General features: G+C 39.4%; 2 pseudogenes; one reads left to right on the top strand and one right to left on the bottom strand.

The window, feature by feature from the left end:
* On the top strand, positions 851–1,471 carry RAB9AP3 (RAB9A, member RAS oncogene family pseudogene 3; annotated as a pseudogene).
* On the bottom strand, positions 4,582–15,397 carry TRAPPC2P4 (trafficking protein particle complex 2 pseudogene 4; annotated as a pseudogene).

Raw genomic sequence — 19,823 nt, 5'->3', positions numbered from 1 at the left:
ATGATCTGCCCACCTTGGCCTCCCAAAGTGCTGGGATTACAGGCATGAACCAACGTGCCTAGCTTAAACATGGCTCTTCTTTTTGGCTCAGATATAACTATAAAGTTTCTTGCTCTCTCAACACTAACCTCCATTACCTTTGTCATAAACATACTCCCTAAGGTATAAATCTTGCTGTATCAGAAACATACAATCTTTGCTCTCTTATCCATCTCTAACCAACAGTAGTGGAGCTTACTATGAGCAGAGAGGGGCTTATCATAGATTCACTGTTCATAACAAGAGCTTTGATGTCACATTTCAGCTAAAGTACCAGCTTCACAGTCAATTGTGACCTGATAAAGGGGAAGAGTGAGCCCTTTTTAGTTGTTTCAGAGAATCATGGTAGTATAGTAGCCCACACATGGCTGTATGCTCAGTAAACAACAAGTCTTATTTTTAGTTATTCTGTAGGTTTATGTGTGTTACTTCAGTTAAATGCTGATATTCGGCCAGGCATGGTGACTCACGCCTGTAATCCCAGCACTTTGGGAGGCTGAGGCGGGTGGATCACGAGGTCAGGAAATCAAGACCATCCTGGCTAACACTGTGAAACCCCGTCTCTGATAAAAATACAAAAAAATTAGCCAGTTGTGGTGGCAGGTTCCTGTTGTCCCAGCTAATCAGAAGGCTGAGGCAGGAGAATAGTGTGAACCTGGGAGGCAGAGCTTGCAGTGAGCCAGATAATGCCACTGCACTCCAGCCTGGGTAACAGAGTGAGACTCCATCTCAAAAAAAAAAAAAAAGAAAAATAAATAAAGCTGATATTCATACACTCATATAGATGAATAGGTAGGCAAAAAGGAATGTTATGGTGCCTTTTTATTTTCAAGGGTTCTTGAAGCTCTTGCAATTAACAGTGGCAGGAAATTCATCACTTTTTAAAGTAATTCTCTTTGGAGATGGTGGGGTTGGGAAGAGTTCACTTAGGAACAGATAAGTAACTATTAAGTTTGGCACTCAGCTGTTCCATGCAATAGATGTGGAATTTTAAAATAAGATTTGAAAGGGGTGGACATTTTGTTACCATACAGATTTGTGACATGGCAGGTCAGGAGAGATTCTGAAGCCTGAGGACACCATTTTACAGAGGTTCTGACAGTTCTCTGCTTATTTTTAGAATCAATGATTTAGGAAGCTTCCAGAACTTAAGTAATTGGAAAGAACCTGAGCGATTTCCTTTTGTAGTTCTGCATTCCAGGACTGGCATAAACGAAAGGCAGGTGTTTATAGAAGAACAGCTGCATTATGCAGGAAGGACAGTGACTACCCTTACTTTGCAACAAGTGCAAAAGATGCCACAAATGTGGCAGCAGCCTTTGAGGATGGGGTTCAAAAAATTCTTGTGACTGTGGATATGTCAGATCACTTGATGAACACAGGCATGGTCAACCTTCACCAAAAGCCCAAGCCTGGCACATCTTGTTATTGAATGTTAGAGATAAGGCAGATGCATGCTAACCAATTCACACATATACACAAAATCAACATGGACATGGAGAAGACAATTAGTGTTTGTAGCAGTGTATTACTTACTAATAAGATTCAACAAATGTATAGCCCTGTGTCATTAGTTGGTGGGAGATGGGACATATCCACTCATGGAGGAATATATTTTCTCAATAATGAAACCTTACATTTATAAATTGTAATGGTTGTCTAAAAAGTCTCTTTGATTTACACATGCAAATTAGAGAGCTAATAAATGAGAGGACCAAGACTTTAATTATAATTAAGATAAGATACTTGACTATTCTAGAATTTATACTTGAAATTTTTTCCTGGAAAAATGGGAAACTAATTTTTCTATGTACATGATTTTTGTGCAATTAACATTGTATTCTTGGTGAAAGAAAATGATTTCCTAAGACAATAATGTTGGATATGAAAGATTAGAATCTAACATATTTCCAATGCATTCTTATTTACTTATTTATCCTTTTCAAAATGACTTAACCTTTTTTATTTCCATTCCACATAGTATTAGAATTATTCTTACTAGTAATTACTCTTCATTTGTGTGTCATTAATAAACTTATACCACCATAGGTCATGTTTCACAGCCCCAGGAGGAGGGATGGCCAACAGTGGCACAAGAGTTGCCTCATACACTCTGTCACACATCCAGCTAAATTCAAGCTGTCCATGAATAAAAAGCATTTCCATATACAACGTTCAGTTTTCAGATAAAGACCAACTACTGAACTTGGAGAAAAGACAAATCTGCATTTGATAACTGATTTAAGAAATATAATATGTGTTCAGAGGATACAAAATTACAATTCCACTAATGGGATAGCTAATATTTGTGTTACTTTCTTCACTCTTGTGGAAAGTCTCCTAGTTGAAGTTAAGCCATTGCTTTTGAACACAAGACACAAGCTAACTTTATCACTCTTAGAGGAAATACTAAGAAGGATTGTACTTTGTCAGAGGGTAAATAAAGATGTCTTTATTAGCCCATGTATTTGCTCAGTGTCTCCTCTATTACTGAACATCATTTAGTGATTCTCTCTCAAGGAATTTTGTGTTTGTTTAAAAAAAATATTTGCTGCAAAGATCAGACTTGATAAAGCAAATTGTGTCCTCTTATGGATGTTAATTTTCCATGCAGCTGGTGACTATCTGATTATACAGAAGTTAACTGAAGCTTGGACTGAATGTGGATGAGACCGGCAACTGGGGAGTGATGGGGATATCAAAGGACATGCTGGGTGAGGGGAGGTGGCTGTCATATAGGGGGTGGAGTTCTGAAAAATTACATCAAAACATTTCTCTTCCTGGCCCCACCCAATGTAGCCATTGGGAAAGATTTTATAAAAAATGCAATAGAAAATGCTAGGAGAACAAAGCAGGTGGTGAGTGTGGCAGCAGGAGCAGTGAGAAGCAGCTGCAGAGCCACCCTGGACAGAAGAACCATAGACGATACTTCATAGTTTGAAGGAAGGGTGGTTCCCAGTGGTACAGAAGTTGCTCCATACAGTCTGTCATATATACAGCTAGATTCAAGCTATGAATAGAAAGCTTTTCCATAGGCCGGGCGCGGTGGCTCACGCCTGTAATCCCAGCACTTTGGGAGGCCGAGGCGGGCGGATCACGAGGTCAGGAGATCGAGACCATCTCGGCTAAAACGGTGAAACCCCGTCTCTACTAAAAATACAAAAAAATTAGCCGGGCGTAGTGGCGGGCGCCTGTAGTCCCAGCTACTTGGGAGGCTGAGGCAGGAGAATGGCGTGAACCCGGGAGGCGGAGCTTGCAGTGAGCCGAGATCCCGCCACTGCACTCCAGCCTGGGTGACAGAGCGAGACTCCGTCTCAAAAAAAAAAAAAAAAGAAAGCTTTTCCATAGAGAGAGTTCAGTTTATAGAAAAGGCTAACTACCGAACTTGGAGAATAGACAAATGTGCATTTAATAACTTATGTAACAATTACAATGTGCTGAGTAGAGGATATAAAATTATAATTCCATTCCAATTAAATAAATACTTTGTTAATTTTCATTCTTTGGGAAAGTTTCCAAGTTGAAGAGAAAACATTCCTACTGCTTCCTATCTTAGAAGAAAACTATTTACGTTTCTGGAAAAACCTAAATTTTCACTTTTGTATCATGACACCACCATATAAGTTTTCTCACAATAAACGTGTCAGGTAGAGTAGCAAAGTGGTAAGTAGAGAAACGCACCAGTGTGGTACCCAGTGAAAGGTGGTGTCTGGACAGTCAGTGCTTTCTGGAACTCTGGACTGACAACTAGGAAGTGTTGAAGTGACTGAAAAGATAAAGATCACAAGTACAGCATGGTCAAAAGAGAGATTGAGAATATCTGTGTCCATGGAAAAGGATGTATTCTGGAAGTTTCCAGGTATAACAAGAGGATGAAACTCCATATCCGCATTTCTTCTGGATCACTCTTGGAGCACTAAAGCAGATAACCAATTTAGTGGTAACATACATATTCTAACAGGGGACTGATTTTAAGACTGATTTCATTTCATTGCTCTTATGTTAAAGAGCCTTAAAGGGACATCACCTACCAGATCCAAGCTTTGCCAGCTTATCTTTCCCCATGATCAGCTCCTATCTATCAGCTGACAGTTCTACCCATGTGACCCAGTGCTCTTCTTCACACCTTCATGACTGCAATACTTTTCTCTGCAGCCCACATTGGAGGTCACATTTAATGCTCCACTTTCCTTGCAGCTCCTTCAAAGAATTTGTCACATATGAAATTTGGCACTTAACTTTACTACAAAATACCCAGGACATGGATTGCTATTCCTATTTCACCTTCATTAGCATGGAGAAAAGGCTATTTTCAATGTTCCACTGTCAGCAGCTGAGCCATGTCTTCCTGCTGTCACTCACCCTGCTGCTCTTGGATGGATGATATCCCTCTGGATTATATGCTCATTGAAGGCAGGAACAACTGTATTAAAAAATACATGCTTGCTGAAATTACTCCTAGATTTCTATATGAGTCTTACCTTTTTCTGCACCCATAGATCTGGGATTTAGTTTGTTTCAATATCAGTGCTGTATAACAGGTTAAGACATCATATTAGTTTGAACACTACCAATAGGGGAAATAGAACATAAACAGATGTGATGGGCAGCACATTAAATATGAATATTAAACTACCACAACCTTGAACAAACATCTTTATTTTAAAAATCAAATAAATGGTGTAAAAATGAAGGTAGTTATTTCACACAAGGTAAAAAGACAAAACTTAGAATTACTTGCTTAAAGTTAATTCAGAATGGAACAAAATTGTTCAAGTGCTCACCATTAGAACAGGTTGTATAACTTGATTTTCAATGGACATTACCTATTTTACAGTAAGATCTTATTATAGGAACAAGGAGACCATTCCCAGCCTCCTCTGGTGTATCACCTCGGACTCCAAAAATGCTGAGATTACAGGCATGATTCACCATGCCCAGGACAATTCCAAACATTTTATAAAAGTTCTGTGACTTCCTCCACTTTCCGTTCACCCACAAAACAAGCATTACTGAGAATTCCAATATATAGTACAAATAAAGCAACTGCTGTGACCAAAGTACCTACATTGATGTGAGTGTGTATTCATGTTCTGGTCAAATTTTACTTATTTAAATAGAGACCTTTGACACATCTAAAAGGCTGAGTATGAATGTTAATGTAATCTTGGCTTTTCTTTGACAACTCTCCTAAAAACTGCCTTACAGCTTTTTGCAAGGATGAATATCAATGATTTACTCTATGAGGGAAAGGAAATAATCAGCAGGACCACTATTCCTAGCCACTGGCAGAAGCCTATATGCAACACTTAGCACTGCACACATCTTTCCTTGGCTTCTTGAGTACTACTGTGTATACTGCCTATACATTTTTATAACATCTCTAAATGTATAAATGAATTAATGTGAAGGTATGTGCTATTACATTTCATTCCCAACTGCAGAATATGTTAGTTTTAAATCTATCTACAAAATCTTGACTGTGACATTTGTTTTTGGATTGTTACATTAAAATCAACCACCTGGGACTGTCACCGTGGCTCATGCCTGTACACTCAGGGCTTTGGAAAGCAGAGGCGGATAAATCACCTAAGTTCAGGAGTTCAAGATCTGTCTAGCTAACATGGTGAAACCACGTCTCTACTAAAAATACAAAAATTAAGCACGCATGGTGTTGGGGCCTGTAGTCTCAGCTACTCCAGAGACTGAGGCAGGAGAGTCACTTGAGCCCAGGAGGCAAACTTTGCAATGAATCAAGATCATGCCATTGCACCCCGGCCTGGACAACAAAGCAAGACTTAATCACAGCAACAACAAAATCACAAATTAACGAACAAACCAAACAAACAAGTGGCACCATTCTTCTTGAATGACTATTTGATCATAGAAAACTCAATTCCTGCCAGTTCATGGTCTTTATTAATAGCACAGCAACTTATTTGAAAGTAGATGGAGGGGGTGGAGCCAAGATGGCTGAATAGGAACAGCTCCAGTCTACAGCTCCCAGCGTGAGTGACGCAGAAGACAGGTGATTTCTGCATTTCCAAGTGACGTACCGGGTTCATCTCACTGGGGAGTGTCATAAAGTGGGTGCAGGACAGTGGATGCAGTGCAGTGAGTATAAGCCGCAGCAGGGCAAGGCATTACCTCACCCAGGAAGTGCAAAGGGTCAGGAAATTCCCTTTCCTAGTCAAAGAAAGGGGTGACAGACGGCACCTGGAAAATTGTGTCACTCCCACCCTAATACTGTGCTTTTCCAATGGTCTTACCAAACAATACACCAGGAGATTATATCCTGCACCTGGCTCGGAGGGTCCTACACCCTTGGAGACTCACTCATGGCTAGCACAGCAGTCTGAGATCAAACTGCAAGGCGGCAGCAAGGCTGGAGGAGGGGCGCCTACCATTGTGAGGCTTGAGTAGGTAAACAAAGCGGCCAGGAAGCTTGAATTGGGGGGAGCCCACCGCAGATCAAGGAGGCCTGCCTGCCTCCGTAGACTCCACCTCTAGGGGCAGGGCATTGCCAAACAAAAAGCAGCAGAATCCTCTGCAGACTTAAATGTCCCGGTCTGACAGCTTTGAAGAGAGTAGCGGTTCTCCCAGCACACAGCGTGAAATCTGAGAAAGGACAGACAGCCTCCTCAAGTGGCTCCCTGAACCTTGGGTAGCCTAACTGGGAGGCACCCCCCAGTAGGTGCAGACTGACACCTCGCAAGGCCAGGTACTCCTCTGAGACAAAACTTCCAGAGGAATGATCAGGCAGCAACATTTGCTGTTCACCAATATCCACTGTTCTGCAGCCTCCGCTGCTGATACCCAGGCAAACAGGGTCTGGATTGGACCTCCAACAAACTCCAACATACCTGCAGCTGAGGGTCCTGACTGTTAGAAGGAAAAATAACAAACAGAAAGGACATCGATACCAAAACCCCATCAGTACATCACCATCATCAAAGACCAAAGGTAAATAAAACTACAGAGATGGGGAAAAAACAGAGCAGAAAAATTGGAAACTCTAAAAATCAGAGTGCCTCTCCTCCTCCAAAGGAACACAGCTCCTCACCAGCAATGGGACAAAGCTGGACAGAGAATGACTTTGACGAGTTGAGAGAAGAGGGCTTCAGATGATCTAAGCTAAAGGAGGAAGTTCAGACCCATGGCAAAGAAATCAAAAGTGCTGAGAAAAAAATTAGATGAATGGCTAACTAGAATAACCAAAGCAGAGAAGTCCTTAAAGGACCTGATGGAGCTGAAAACCATGCATGAGAACTACGAGAAGAATGCACTAGCCTCAGTAGCTTATTCAATCAACTAGAAGAAAGGGTATCAGTGATGGAAGATCAAATGAGTGAAATGAAGCGAGAAGAGAAGCTTAGAAAAAAAAAAGAATGAAAAGAAATGAAAAAAAGCCTCCAAGAAATGTGGGACTATGTGAAAAGACCAAATCTACATCTGACTGGTGTACCTGAAAGTGATGGGGAGAATGGAACTAAATTGGAAAATACTCTGCAGGATATTATCCAGGAGAACTTCCCCTATCTAGCAAGGCAGGCCAACATTCAAATTCAGAAAATACAGAGAACGCCACAGACATACTCCTCAAGAAGAACAACTCAAAGGCACATAATTGTCGTATTCACCAAAGTGGAAATGAAAGAAAAAATGTTAAGGTCAGCCAGAGAGAAAGGTTGGGTTACCCACAAAGGGAAGCCCATCAGATTAACAGCTGATCTCTCAGCAGAAACTCTACAAGCCAGAAGAGAGTGGTGGCCAATATTCAACACTCTTAAATAAAAGAATTTTCAACCCAGAATTTCATATCCAGCCAAGCTAAGCTTCATAAGTAAAGGAGAAATAAAATCCTTTACAGACAAACAAATGCTGAGATATTTTGTCACCACCAGCCCTGCCTAAAAGAGCTCCTCAAGGAGGCACTAAACATGGAAAGGAACAACTGGTACCAGCCACTGAAAAAACATGCCAAATTGTAAAGACCATTGAGGATAGGACGAAACTGCATCAACTAATGCACAAAATAACCAGCTAACATCATAATGACAAGAGCAAATTCACACATAACTATATTAACCTTAAATGTAAAAGGGCTAAATTCTCCAATTCAAAGGCACAGACTGGCAAATTGGATAGAGTCAAGTCCCATCAGTATGCTGTATTCAGGAAACCCATCTCACATGCAGAAACACATATGGGCTCAAAATAAATGGATGGAGGAATATCCACCAAGCAAATGAGAAACAAAAAAAGGCAGATGTTGCAATCCTAGTCTCTGATAAAACAGACTTTAAACCAACAAAGATCAAAAGATAAAAAGAAGGCCATTACATAATGGTAAAGGGATCAATTCAACAAAAAGAGCTAACTCTCCTAAATATATATGCACCCAATACAGGAGCACCCAGATTCACAAAGCAAGTCCTTACTGACCTACAAAGAGACTTAGATTCCCAAACAATAATAATGGGAGACTTTAACACCCCACTGTCAACACAAGACAGATCAAAAAGTCAGAAAGTTAACAAGAATATCTAGGAATTGAACTCAGCTCTGCACCAAGCAGACCTAATAGACCTCTACAGAACTCTCCACACCAAATCAACAGAGTATACATTCTTCTCAGCACCACATTGCACTTATTCAAAAATTGACCACATAGTTGGAAGTAAAGCACCCCTCAGCAAATGTGAAACAACAGAAATTATAACAAACTTTCTCTCAGACCACAGTGCAATCAAACTAGAACTCAGGATTAAGAAACTCACTCAGAACTGCTCAACTACATGGAAACTGAAAAACCTGCTCCTGAATGACTACTGGGTACATAACAAAATGAAGGCAGAAATAAAGATGTTCTTTGAAACTGATGAGAAAAAAGACACAACATACCAGAATCTCTGGGACACATTCATAGCAGTGTGTAGAGGGAAATTTATAGCACTGAATGCCCAAAAGAGAAAGCAGGAAACATCTACAATTGACACCCTAACATCACAATTAAAAGAACTAGAGAAACAAGAGCAAACACATTCAAAAGCCAGCAGAAGGCAAGAAATAACTAAGATCGGAGCAGAACTGAAGGAAATAGAGACAGAGAAAACCCTTCGAAAAATCAATGAATACAGGAGCTGGTTTTTTGAAAAGATCAACAAAATCGATAGACTGCTAGCAAGATTAATAAAGAAGAAAAGAGAGAAGAACCAAATAGACACAATAAAAAATGATAAAGGGGATATCACCACTGATCCCACAGAAATATGAACTACCATTAGAGAATACTATAAACATGTCTACGCAAATAAACTAGAAAATCTAGAAGAAATGGATAAATTCCTTGACACATACACCCTCCCAAGACTAAACCAGGGAGAAGCTGAATCTCTGAATAGACCAAAAACAGGCTCTGAAATTGAGGCAATAATTAACAGCTTACCAACCAAGAAAAGTACAGGACCAGATGGATTCACAGTGTAATTCTACCAGACGTACAAGGAAGAGCTGATACCATTCCTTCTGAAATTATTCCAATCAATAGAAAAAGAGGGAATCCTCCCCAATTCATTTTATGAGGTCAGCATCATCCTGATACCAAAGCCTGGCAGAGACACAACAAAAAAAGAGAATTTTAGACCAGTATCCTTGATGAATATTGATGCAAAAGTCCTCAATAAAATACTGGCAAACCAATTCCAGCAGCACATCAAAAAGCTTATCTACCATGATCAAGTGGGCATCATCCCTGGAATGCAAGGCTGCTTCAACATACGCAAAACAATAGACATAATCCAGCATATAAACAGAACCAAAGACAAAAAACATATGATTATCACAATAGATGCAGAAAAGGCCTTTGACAAAATTCAGCAATGCTTAATGCTAAAAACTCTCAATAAATTAGGTATTGATGGGACAGATCTCAAAATAATAAGAACTATTTATGACAAACCCACAGGCAATATCATAGTGAGTGGGCAAAAACTGGAAGCATTCCCTTTGAAAACTGGCACAAGACAGGCATGCCCTCTTTCACCACTCCTATTCAACATAGTGTTGGAAGTTCTGGCCAGGGCAATTAGGCAGGAGAAGGAAATAAAGGGTATTCAATTAGGAAAAGAGGAAGTCAAATTGTCCCTGTTTGCAGATGACATGATTGTACATCTAGAAAACCCCATCGTCTCAGCCAAAAATCTTCTTAAGATGATAGGCAACTTCGGCAAAGTCTCAGGATACAAAATCAGTGTGCAAAAATCACAAGCATTCTTATACACCAATAACAGACAAACAGAGAGCCAAATGATGAGTGAACTCCCATTCACAATTACTTCAAAGAGAATAAAATACCTAGGAATCCAACTTACAAGGGATGTGAAGGGCCTCTTCAAGGAGAACTACAAACCACTGCATAATGAAATAAAAGAGAATACAACCAAATGGAAGACCATCCCTTGCTCATGGGTAGGAAGAATCAACATCGTGAAAATGGCCATACTGCCTAAAGTAATTTGTAGATTCAATGCCATCCACATCAAGCTACCTATGACTTTTTTCACAAAATTGGAAAAAACTACTTTAAAGGTCATATGGAACCAAAAATAGCCCGCATTGCCAAGTCAATCCTAAACCCAAAGAACAAAGCTGGAGGCATCACGCTACCTGACTTCAAACTATTCTATAAGGCTACAGTAACCAAAACAGCATGGTACTGGTACCAAAACAGAGATATAGACCAATGGAACAGAACACAGACCTCAGAAATAATGCTGCATGTCTACAACCATCTGAAATTTGACAAACCTGTTTTGCTTTTTTAACAAAAACAAAACAACCAAAACCTTGTTTTGTTTTTTTAACAAAAACAAGAAATGGGGAAATGATTCCCTTTTTAAGAAGTGGTGCTGGGAAAACTGGCCAGCAATATGTAGAAAGCTGAGACTGGATCCCTTCGTTACATCTTATACAAAAATTAATTCAATATGGATTAAATACTTAAATTATAGACCTAAAACCATAAAAAACCCTAGAAGAAAACCTAGGCAATAACATTCAGGACATTGGCATGGGCAAGGACTTCATGTCTAAAACAACAAAAGCAATGGTAACAAAAGTCAAAATTGACAAAAGGGATCTAATTAAACAAAAGAGCTTCTGCACAGCAAAAGAAACTTCCATCAGAGTGAACAGGCAACCTACAGAATGGGAGAAAATTTTTGCCATCTACTCATCTGACAAAGGGCTAATATCCAGAATCTACAATGAACTCAAACAAATTTACAAGAAGAAAACCAACAACCCCATCAAAAAGTGGGTGAAGGACATGAACAGACACTTCTCAAAAGAAGACATTTATACAGCCAAAAAGCACATGAAAAAATGCTCACCATCACTGGCCATCAGAGAAATGCAAATCAAAACCACAGTGAGATACCATCTCACACCAGTTAGAATGGTGATCATTAAGAAGTCAGGAAACAACAGGTGCTGGAGAGGATGTGGAGAAATAGGAACACTTTTACTCTGTTGGTGGGACGGTAAACGCGTTCAACCATTGTGGAAGTCAGTGTGGCAATTCCTCAGGGATCTAGAACTAGAAATACCGTTTGACCCAGCCATCCCATTACTGGGTATATACCCAAAGGATTATAAATCATGCTGCTATAAAGACACATGCACACGTATGTTTATTGCAGCACTATTCACAATAGCAAAGACTTGGAACCAACCCAAATGTCCAACAATGATAGACTGGATTAAGAAAATGTGGAACATATACAGCATGGAATATTATGCAGCCATAAGAAATGATGAGATTATTTCCTTTGTAGGGACATAGATGAAGCTGGAAACCATCATTTTCAGCACATTATAACAAGGACAAAAATCCAAATAGCGCATGTTCTCACTCATAGGTGGGAATTGAACAATGAGAACACCTGGACACAGGAAGGGGAACATCACACACCGGGGCGTGTTATGGGGTGGGGGAGGCGGAGAGATAGCATTTGGAGATATATCTAATGTTAAATGACCAGTTACTGGGTGCAGCACACCAACATGGCACATGTATACATATGTAACTAACCTGCACGTTGTGCACATGTACCTTAAAACTTAAAATATAATTAAACAAAAAGAATATAGATGGAAACATTTCAGATTAAATTTTAATTAGTTTTCCCTTATGTAGGCTGCTTCTTTGCTATCTTTATGGTTCCCTGATGAAATCAACTATGAACACTAAGAGGGAAAACATGAAAACAATTTGCCTTCACAATATTCTACAAATAACTATTGTAAGTTGTGTTCCTAAATACCCATTCAACTCGCTGTGAAGACTTGCCTGCCAAGGGAGTTGACAGACACAGTTCTTATGAGAAAACGCAGTCTGAAACGTAAGCTGTGCAGCCTAAGTGGGTTACTTGAAAAGGCCAGTTTCCTGACAAAGATCAAATCTTTTTTTCCATCATCAGATTTTTAAAATTATAGAACATGACTTACTTTTATATGTTAATCATGAACATCAGTAAGGAAGTGATTTATTCCATCTTCTTGCCTTATGCCATGAAGCATAATAAATCTCATATGTGACATAATTAAGGCAATATTTTTCTTAGAAGTAAAAAACAAAAAGCAACCAGTTCATTGATACAATATTCTTCAAATTAGTCACACTCCATGTATTTCTGATGGAAGACTTGAATACATTAACTGGGTTCAAAATTAGCTTAGTTTTACCAGAAAAAGAATATAAGCATTCTAAGTAAAAAAAGAAAAAAGCTAAAAGTAATGTAACATCAACCTTGATATGAATCAGATAAACTCTTTGGGGGTATGAGACTTAGTTTAATCATTAGCTGTTCAACAAAATATTTTCTCCCCTAATAAAACAAAGTAGTCCCATAAATGGAAACTTTTACATTCATACAAATTTTGAAGCACACAGACTCAGAGCCAGGCATCTGTGTTCCATGTTCCTCTAGTTTGTAAACCCAAACTTTAGTTAATTATCTTTACTAAAAAGGGAAAAAGGTATGCTCTGCAGTAATGAGTGCTGGCACAAACCAGTTATTGGACTTGTCCACACTTTTCAAGTACATGTTGTTCAAAAGCCACATGTTCTCGTCTATGAGGTCAAGAGCAGCATGAGCTATGAACTGGTGCAGACAGTGACGGTTGTCATAAATGACAGTGTGAGCAATAACAGATTAATGTATCCTTATGGAATGAAGAATGCCGACATTTCATTCTGTAAATTCTATAGATGGTTTTCTTGCGCAGAAAAAAAAAGTTTGATTTTGCTTTGTTTGTTATTTTCAAGAGACATAAAAGAGATCTGTTTTCACATTATATGGAATTATTTTTTAAAAAATATAGTTTTAAAATAACACCTCAGTTACGGGTGGAAGTGTATTCTCTTCAAAATTCTTTTGTTGATGTCCTAAGTGACAGTACCGCAGAGTGTGGCCTCATTTGGAAGGATAGGTTACATGTATATATGGTTATTTTAGATTAGGTCATTTTAGGGTAGGGTGAGCCTCTAATAAAACCACTCATGTACTTAGTAAAAAAAGGAACATTTGGATATGCACAAAGGGAGAAAAATGACACAGAAAGACTGGAGTTACACTGCTACAAGCCAGGGAACTTCCAGAAACTGGGAGAGAAACTGAACAGATTCTTACCTTAAGACCTGCATAGGAATCTTGTCACCACTGATATCTTGATTTTAGACAGTGGCCCTCAGAAATGAGGAAATACATTTCTGATGTCCAAAGCCACTACACTTTTGGTACTTTGTTACAACAGCCACAGGAAACAGAGACAGCCTCCTTGCCAAAGAAGCTGTTCCCAATCTTGGGCTGGAGGAGGGTAGCCCATTTTCCCAAAATCCCTCGGACATCTAAAGCATGCTTCACTTCACTCACATTGTCATGACAAACCTAAGTGAATCTTTAGATAAATGGATCTCTTCGTGTCTCGATCAAGCAGTGGTTTCTTTTACAATGATGATCAATTCTGAAAGATTAGAAGCAAATTGTGAAAATGCTTTAACAAGGTGAATGGTAGCAGGAGAAAGAATTAAAATCAATATATGCAACAAATTATTTTTATGTCTGCTCCTTTCTCCACAACAGGGCCAGTGGAATGCACAGAAATTATATACAAGTAGCTGCATCCTAGAAAGCAATACTGCTACAAGTACTCAAAACAAGTTTTAATGAGCAGTGTTCTCATAATATGAGAAAGTAATGCCACAATAATACCTGGCACATAATCCTGTCTACCATATTTTGGTGACAAGTCCTGAATAGTTAAAAAGTATCACCCACTTAAACATTATACATTGCAAGTAACTTACAATATCACTTCCTCAAATGTCATTAAAGCTGACTTGTGTGCTTGAGAGAAACAGTGCAAACATGCCAGCAATGTATTAGAAACATAAATTGGAAAGGACTGGGCTCTTCTCACGTCAAAAATCTATGGGCTGGTTTACTCTGAATAATAACATGTTCTCGAGCCAAGCCTGGTTTCTGGAAACATTCTTGACAAAAAAAGGTGTCATCATCTCTGGTACTGCTTTTGCGCTTCCTGTGCATTGCCAAGGTAGTCACTGGGGATGTAAGCATACATGAATCACCCAGTCAGGAAGTGCTGCTGAGGGTCACTGAGGGTCTTTTTTAACCCCGAAGGTCCTGATGAAAAACATGATTCATGAAAACTGCCTGAATTTTAATGGATGGAACACAATAGGTCCTGATGAAAAATATGATTCATGAAAACTGCCTGAACACTGATGGATGACATTTCAAAGCCACAACTTGCTACAGGTGGACTAGGGTTTTAAGTGTTCAAGTGGCAGCAATTCATGATGGATGACATAATGAACTGAACATCATGGGAAAGTCAGAGGTCATGCTAGTCTGTGCTGAATTAAAGTATAAATAAACAACTCCCAGGATATGCCCTGGTTGACTGCTATCAGTCTCTGGGACTCCAGTGCAAGCCTCATTTAATTGTGCTGGATTTCATTTACCTCCTCTGTCCAGATCTTCCAGTTCTAAAATCATATTACACTATATCGTTACAATGGAATAAAAATTCCTATGAAAACTAAGCTTCCACATGCACTTTGGATTCTGCCTTCCCAGCTCGCAAAAACTCCATTTCAAAAAGTGGATTATCATGGTGGCCAACAATTACAAAGTAGAAGCTCCTAGACATGGTCTTCAATATATGGCTCCTAATGAAGCAAAAAATAGTGCATATTTTTAGCAGTCAATATTGAAATTCAAAGATGACCAATGGGAAATGTAAAATTCTTCTTTTGTTTTGCTTTCTAACTTAAACCTGAAATACGCCAGTAAGCTTGTCACCATTCCCCACATACTAGTGAAGATGCATGACTTCTGGAATAAACAAATGATATAATTGTGATATTTCTTATAGAATCCTATGTATTTCCATAAGAAAACCAGAAGACCTCTAACATAACATCACAGACAATATTCTCACGATCTGAATGTATGGCACATTCAACTGAAAGGACCCTGAGTGTCTGGTGGAGTAAGCTAGGCTTCACTTGGACTGGAGCAGTTAGCACCAGCACTGACACTTAGAAGATTTAACAGAGGTAGATGGTAAGTTAAGGATCATAAAGAGTGGTGAGAAGATGAAACTAATTAGCTTGCCTTAGAAATTTCCATAAGGCATCTGTTGGGGGAAGCTAAAATCAGCTTTCTCTCATGTGACTTACCTAGAAAAGTGAGGCAATGCAGCACTTTGTGCTCTATTTTTTTCTTTCTAACTGAACTATGTGTGTTATAAATACATGTCCGTGCTAATAAAAGAGACTATGATATGCCTCTTGATACACCAATTTATAAGAAAGGAAGTTTTCTATTCTATAAAGGATGAAAGAAATGATAGATAAAGGAAAATATTCTGAGGTACTGAGAGATCTTACAAAGAAGTTTAACAGATTGGGACAGGTGTAATGGCTCATGCCTGTAATCCCAGCATTTCAGAAGGCTGAGGCAGACAGTCTGTTGGAGTCCAGGAATTTGAGACCAGCCAAGGCAACAGCATGAAAGAAGAAACACTTCTCTACAAAAAAATACATCTCTACAGAAATACTAAAATTTCTGGGCATTGTGGTGTCTGCCTGTAGTCCCAGCTACTCTGGAGCCTGACAGGAGAGAATTACATGACACAACAGTAAGCTGAACTATCCTGCCTCAAACAAGAACAACAACAACAACAACAAACAGATTCGCAAAAGAAATAAACTCATGAGAAACGCTGGAAAAATTACAAGTGATTCCTTGGCTTCTAGCACAGATAATGAAAATATAGATGAAAGACGGATGGGAGGGAACATGGATGGATATACTCAATGGTAACCCCACTGTGTGTATTTTTAACTCAAGAGGATTGAAATAAAAAAAAGTTAGGTTCTATGTAGCTCTGCTACTTACTTGCAATGTTACCACAGGGAGCACTTAACCTATTGTTGGCTTTCTTCTTTATGGAATAGTAGTAACTTTGTAGCACCTTACAGTAAAGTACCCAGCACAGTGTCTGACTCACAGGACATGCTCAATTAATATTTTCTAGAATAACATGGAAGGCCAAATGCAAACTGAGAAGTGGTGACTGGTAAAATTCTCAACATGGGGTGGATATCAAGTAAGCGAGGAGTTAGTCAAACTCCTGGAAGATACATCTGAGGTGGGTTAGAAACCAAGGCTCATCAAGCCTCACTGGATCTTCTCCTGATTCACGTACACAAAACGGAATCAGAAGAAACATGATATGCATGTGCTAATGAATGATGCATTTCATAAATAAAATCAAGGCACAGCTGGCAGCTTTAACTTTAGAATTGGAGGGTTATGACTGTAGAAGGAAAGGCAAATAGAAGACTCTGGGCATGATGAAGTAGGATTTAAAATATCATGTGAGATGGGGGACTATAGCCTTGTTCACTTTCTCACTACCATCTAAGGTGCTCTCACCCTTCAAAGGCAGAGTTAAGTACCTGCAATCAGGTTATCCCACAGAGCCAACAATATTCACTATCTGGTCTTCCAAGGAAAACCTTTGCCCCTGCTTTAGAAAACAGATGAAAAACAGATTGAGGAAGAAAAATTGGGTAACAAAGACAAGCAAGAATGATACAAAAGCCGTGAAAAACTAGAGGAATTGGCAATAATTCTCCAGGGAAGGTTATGGGAGAAAGGATGGGCAGTGGAAAATTGAATAAAGTAAATAATGATATCATGAATTATTACTGGGCTAAATTTTAGAGCTGAAGTTTGCCAAAAGAAGTGCTTGTTACCTTCTTCTGCACAAGCATTGAAGCAGCAGTGCTAAAAAGAAGGGGGGCAAATGTGTGTGTTTGTGTGTGGGTGGTTTGCATGTGTGTGTGGGTGTGGATGTAGAAGTGTCAGTGTGTGTGTAAGGGAGATAACATGCATCCCCACACTCAGCCCTATATGAAAAGCCACAAATGGGTGAGCAGCATGGTGCTAAATCAGCAGGAGGACAGACAGAAGGGAACTCAAAGAACAATTGCATGATGGTGCTGTTATCAACTACACAGATGGGCAGAAGATCAGACGGAGTTTACTTTATATACATTCCATGTTTATCGTAAGTTGTCAGTTTGGTTTTCCTTTTGTAAACAGCTGAAGAAGCAAGAAGGCTATAGTTTTTCAGTCAATTTTGCAAAGAAAAACTGTCAGGTGAAGTGGGAGAATTTGAAACCCTGGGAGAAAATGACACCGTTGTCACAGAAAGGGAAGGGAATAGCTGCAACACTTAGCAAATACTTGAGGGTATGGGACAAAGGTGAGACACACATTAGGATTCTGCACTGTCCAATCTGTGGAACTTTCTCCAAGGATGCAAATGTACACCTGTGTTGTCCAATATGAAAGCCAGCAAGTATTAGAAATGTGGCTACTGTAACTGTAGAACTGAATTTTAATTAAAGAAGAAGAGCCACATGAGGATAGTGGCTATGTAATAGAAAGCACAGGTTTAGATAGAAGATTCCAAGACAGTGGCATGATCTTGGCTTACTGCAAATTCCACCTCCCAAGTTCAGGAGATTCTCCTGCCTCCGCCCTCCTGAGTAGCTGGGATTAATGGCATGCACCATCATGCCAGGGTAAATTTTGTAATTCTAGTAGAGACAGGGTTTTGCCATACTGCCCAAGCTGGTCTTGAACTCCTGGCCTCAAGAGATCTCCAGACCTCAGCCTCCCAAAGTGCTGAGATTACAGTCATGAGCCACCATGCTCAGCCCAATTTCAACTTTTTAAAATAAAATTTCTGTGATATCTCCATATTTCCTTCACCAACAAAACAAGTGTTACTTAGAATTCCAACACATAATGCAAATAAAGCAACAGCCATGACTGACATACCTGCATTGGCATGAATGTGTATTCATGGTCTTCTCGATTTTTCTGTTGCTTTAAATAAGGGCCTTTGAAGAATCTCCAAGGAACACTTGTCCCAGAGGCCCTGAGGACGTAGCTACATAGAATTAGATAATAGATTAAATTGGGAAATGGAGGACAAGAGGAGAATCTAAGATAGTTTTCAAATGTCTAGCTGAGAGGAACAAACAGATTGTGACCTCTCTTCTAAGATGCCCTCATCCAAATCTCTAAAACTTGTGAGTATGTGAGGGCTCATGGCAAAGAGAAATTAAGGTTGTTCAGCAGCTGACCTTAAGATAGGAAGATTGCCGAGGATCATGCAGCTTGATCAATGCCATTGGAACGACCTTAAATGTAGAAGATGGAAGCAAAAGAGGAAAGTCAGGGGGAAGTGACAGAAGAAGGAGAAAAGCAATGTGATGTTGATGGCTTTGAAAACAGAGGAAGGGGCTATGGCTAAAGAATGCAGCAGGCCCCTAGAAGCTAGAAAGTACAGGGAAACAAATTATCCTCTAGAGCCTCCAAGAGGAACACAGTCCTGTGCACACTTAGATTTTAGCTGAACAAGACCTCTATTGGACTCGTATGTTACAGAAGTGTAAGATGATACACTTGTATTAAGCCACTAAATTTGTAATAATTTGTTACAGTGGCCTATTGTTCCACCTTCGCTAGAGTTTTGTCATTTACTTTTTTTGCCCCCAAATCCACCTTGACTGTATCCACTTCAGAGTTACTACTGTTTCTGTCATCATCCCTGGAATGTTCTCCCTGATTCTGCCTGCAGCCTTTACCTATTTTTTAAAATTCAACTAAGTTTCTCCTCCTCCTCAATTATTTCCAACAAAAGCCTACACATTCTCCACGTGCTAAGAAGTCCTGTCACTCATACTGCTTCTTAAAGACTTTAAGTTTTTCACAGCCAGTGATCAAAACTCATTGTACACTTTTTCAATGTCATGTACAAAGGTGTCACTGATCAAATTTTGTCCTCACAGGGCTTAGATAGTTTCTCAGGCTTATATTTCCAGCATACAACTCTGGACTCGGGGTAGATTCCTCACTGCCCCCAGAAGGTCTTGGATTTTTGTTTGTTTGTTTTATTTGTTTTTTATTCCTTTGCTCATTTTCCCTCCCCTGCAAAGCTCTTCTTTTAGTGCACCACGCAAATCCTATGCATCAAGGTCCTGATGAGTTTACACTTTTTCTGAGAGATGATCTGGATCACTTCCATCTTCAACCACCTCCCCTTTAAACTCTTTACTCAGTTTATAATGTGATCTTAGCACTTGCTCAATTCTCTAGCTGTAATATTTTCAT

This window comes from Homo sapiens, chromosome Y, assembly GCF_000001405.40.
Source record: "Homo sapiens chromosome Y, GRCh38.p14 Primary Assembly".
Taxonomy (NCBI): Eukaryota; Metazoa; Chordata; class Mammalia; order Primates; family Hominidae; genus Homo; species Homo sapiens.
This window is presented reverse-complemented; position numbering and strand designations above follow the sequence as displayed.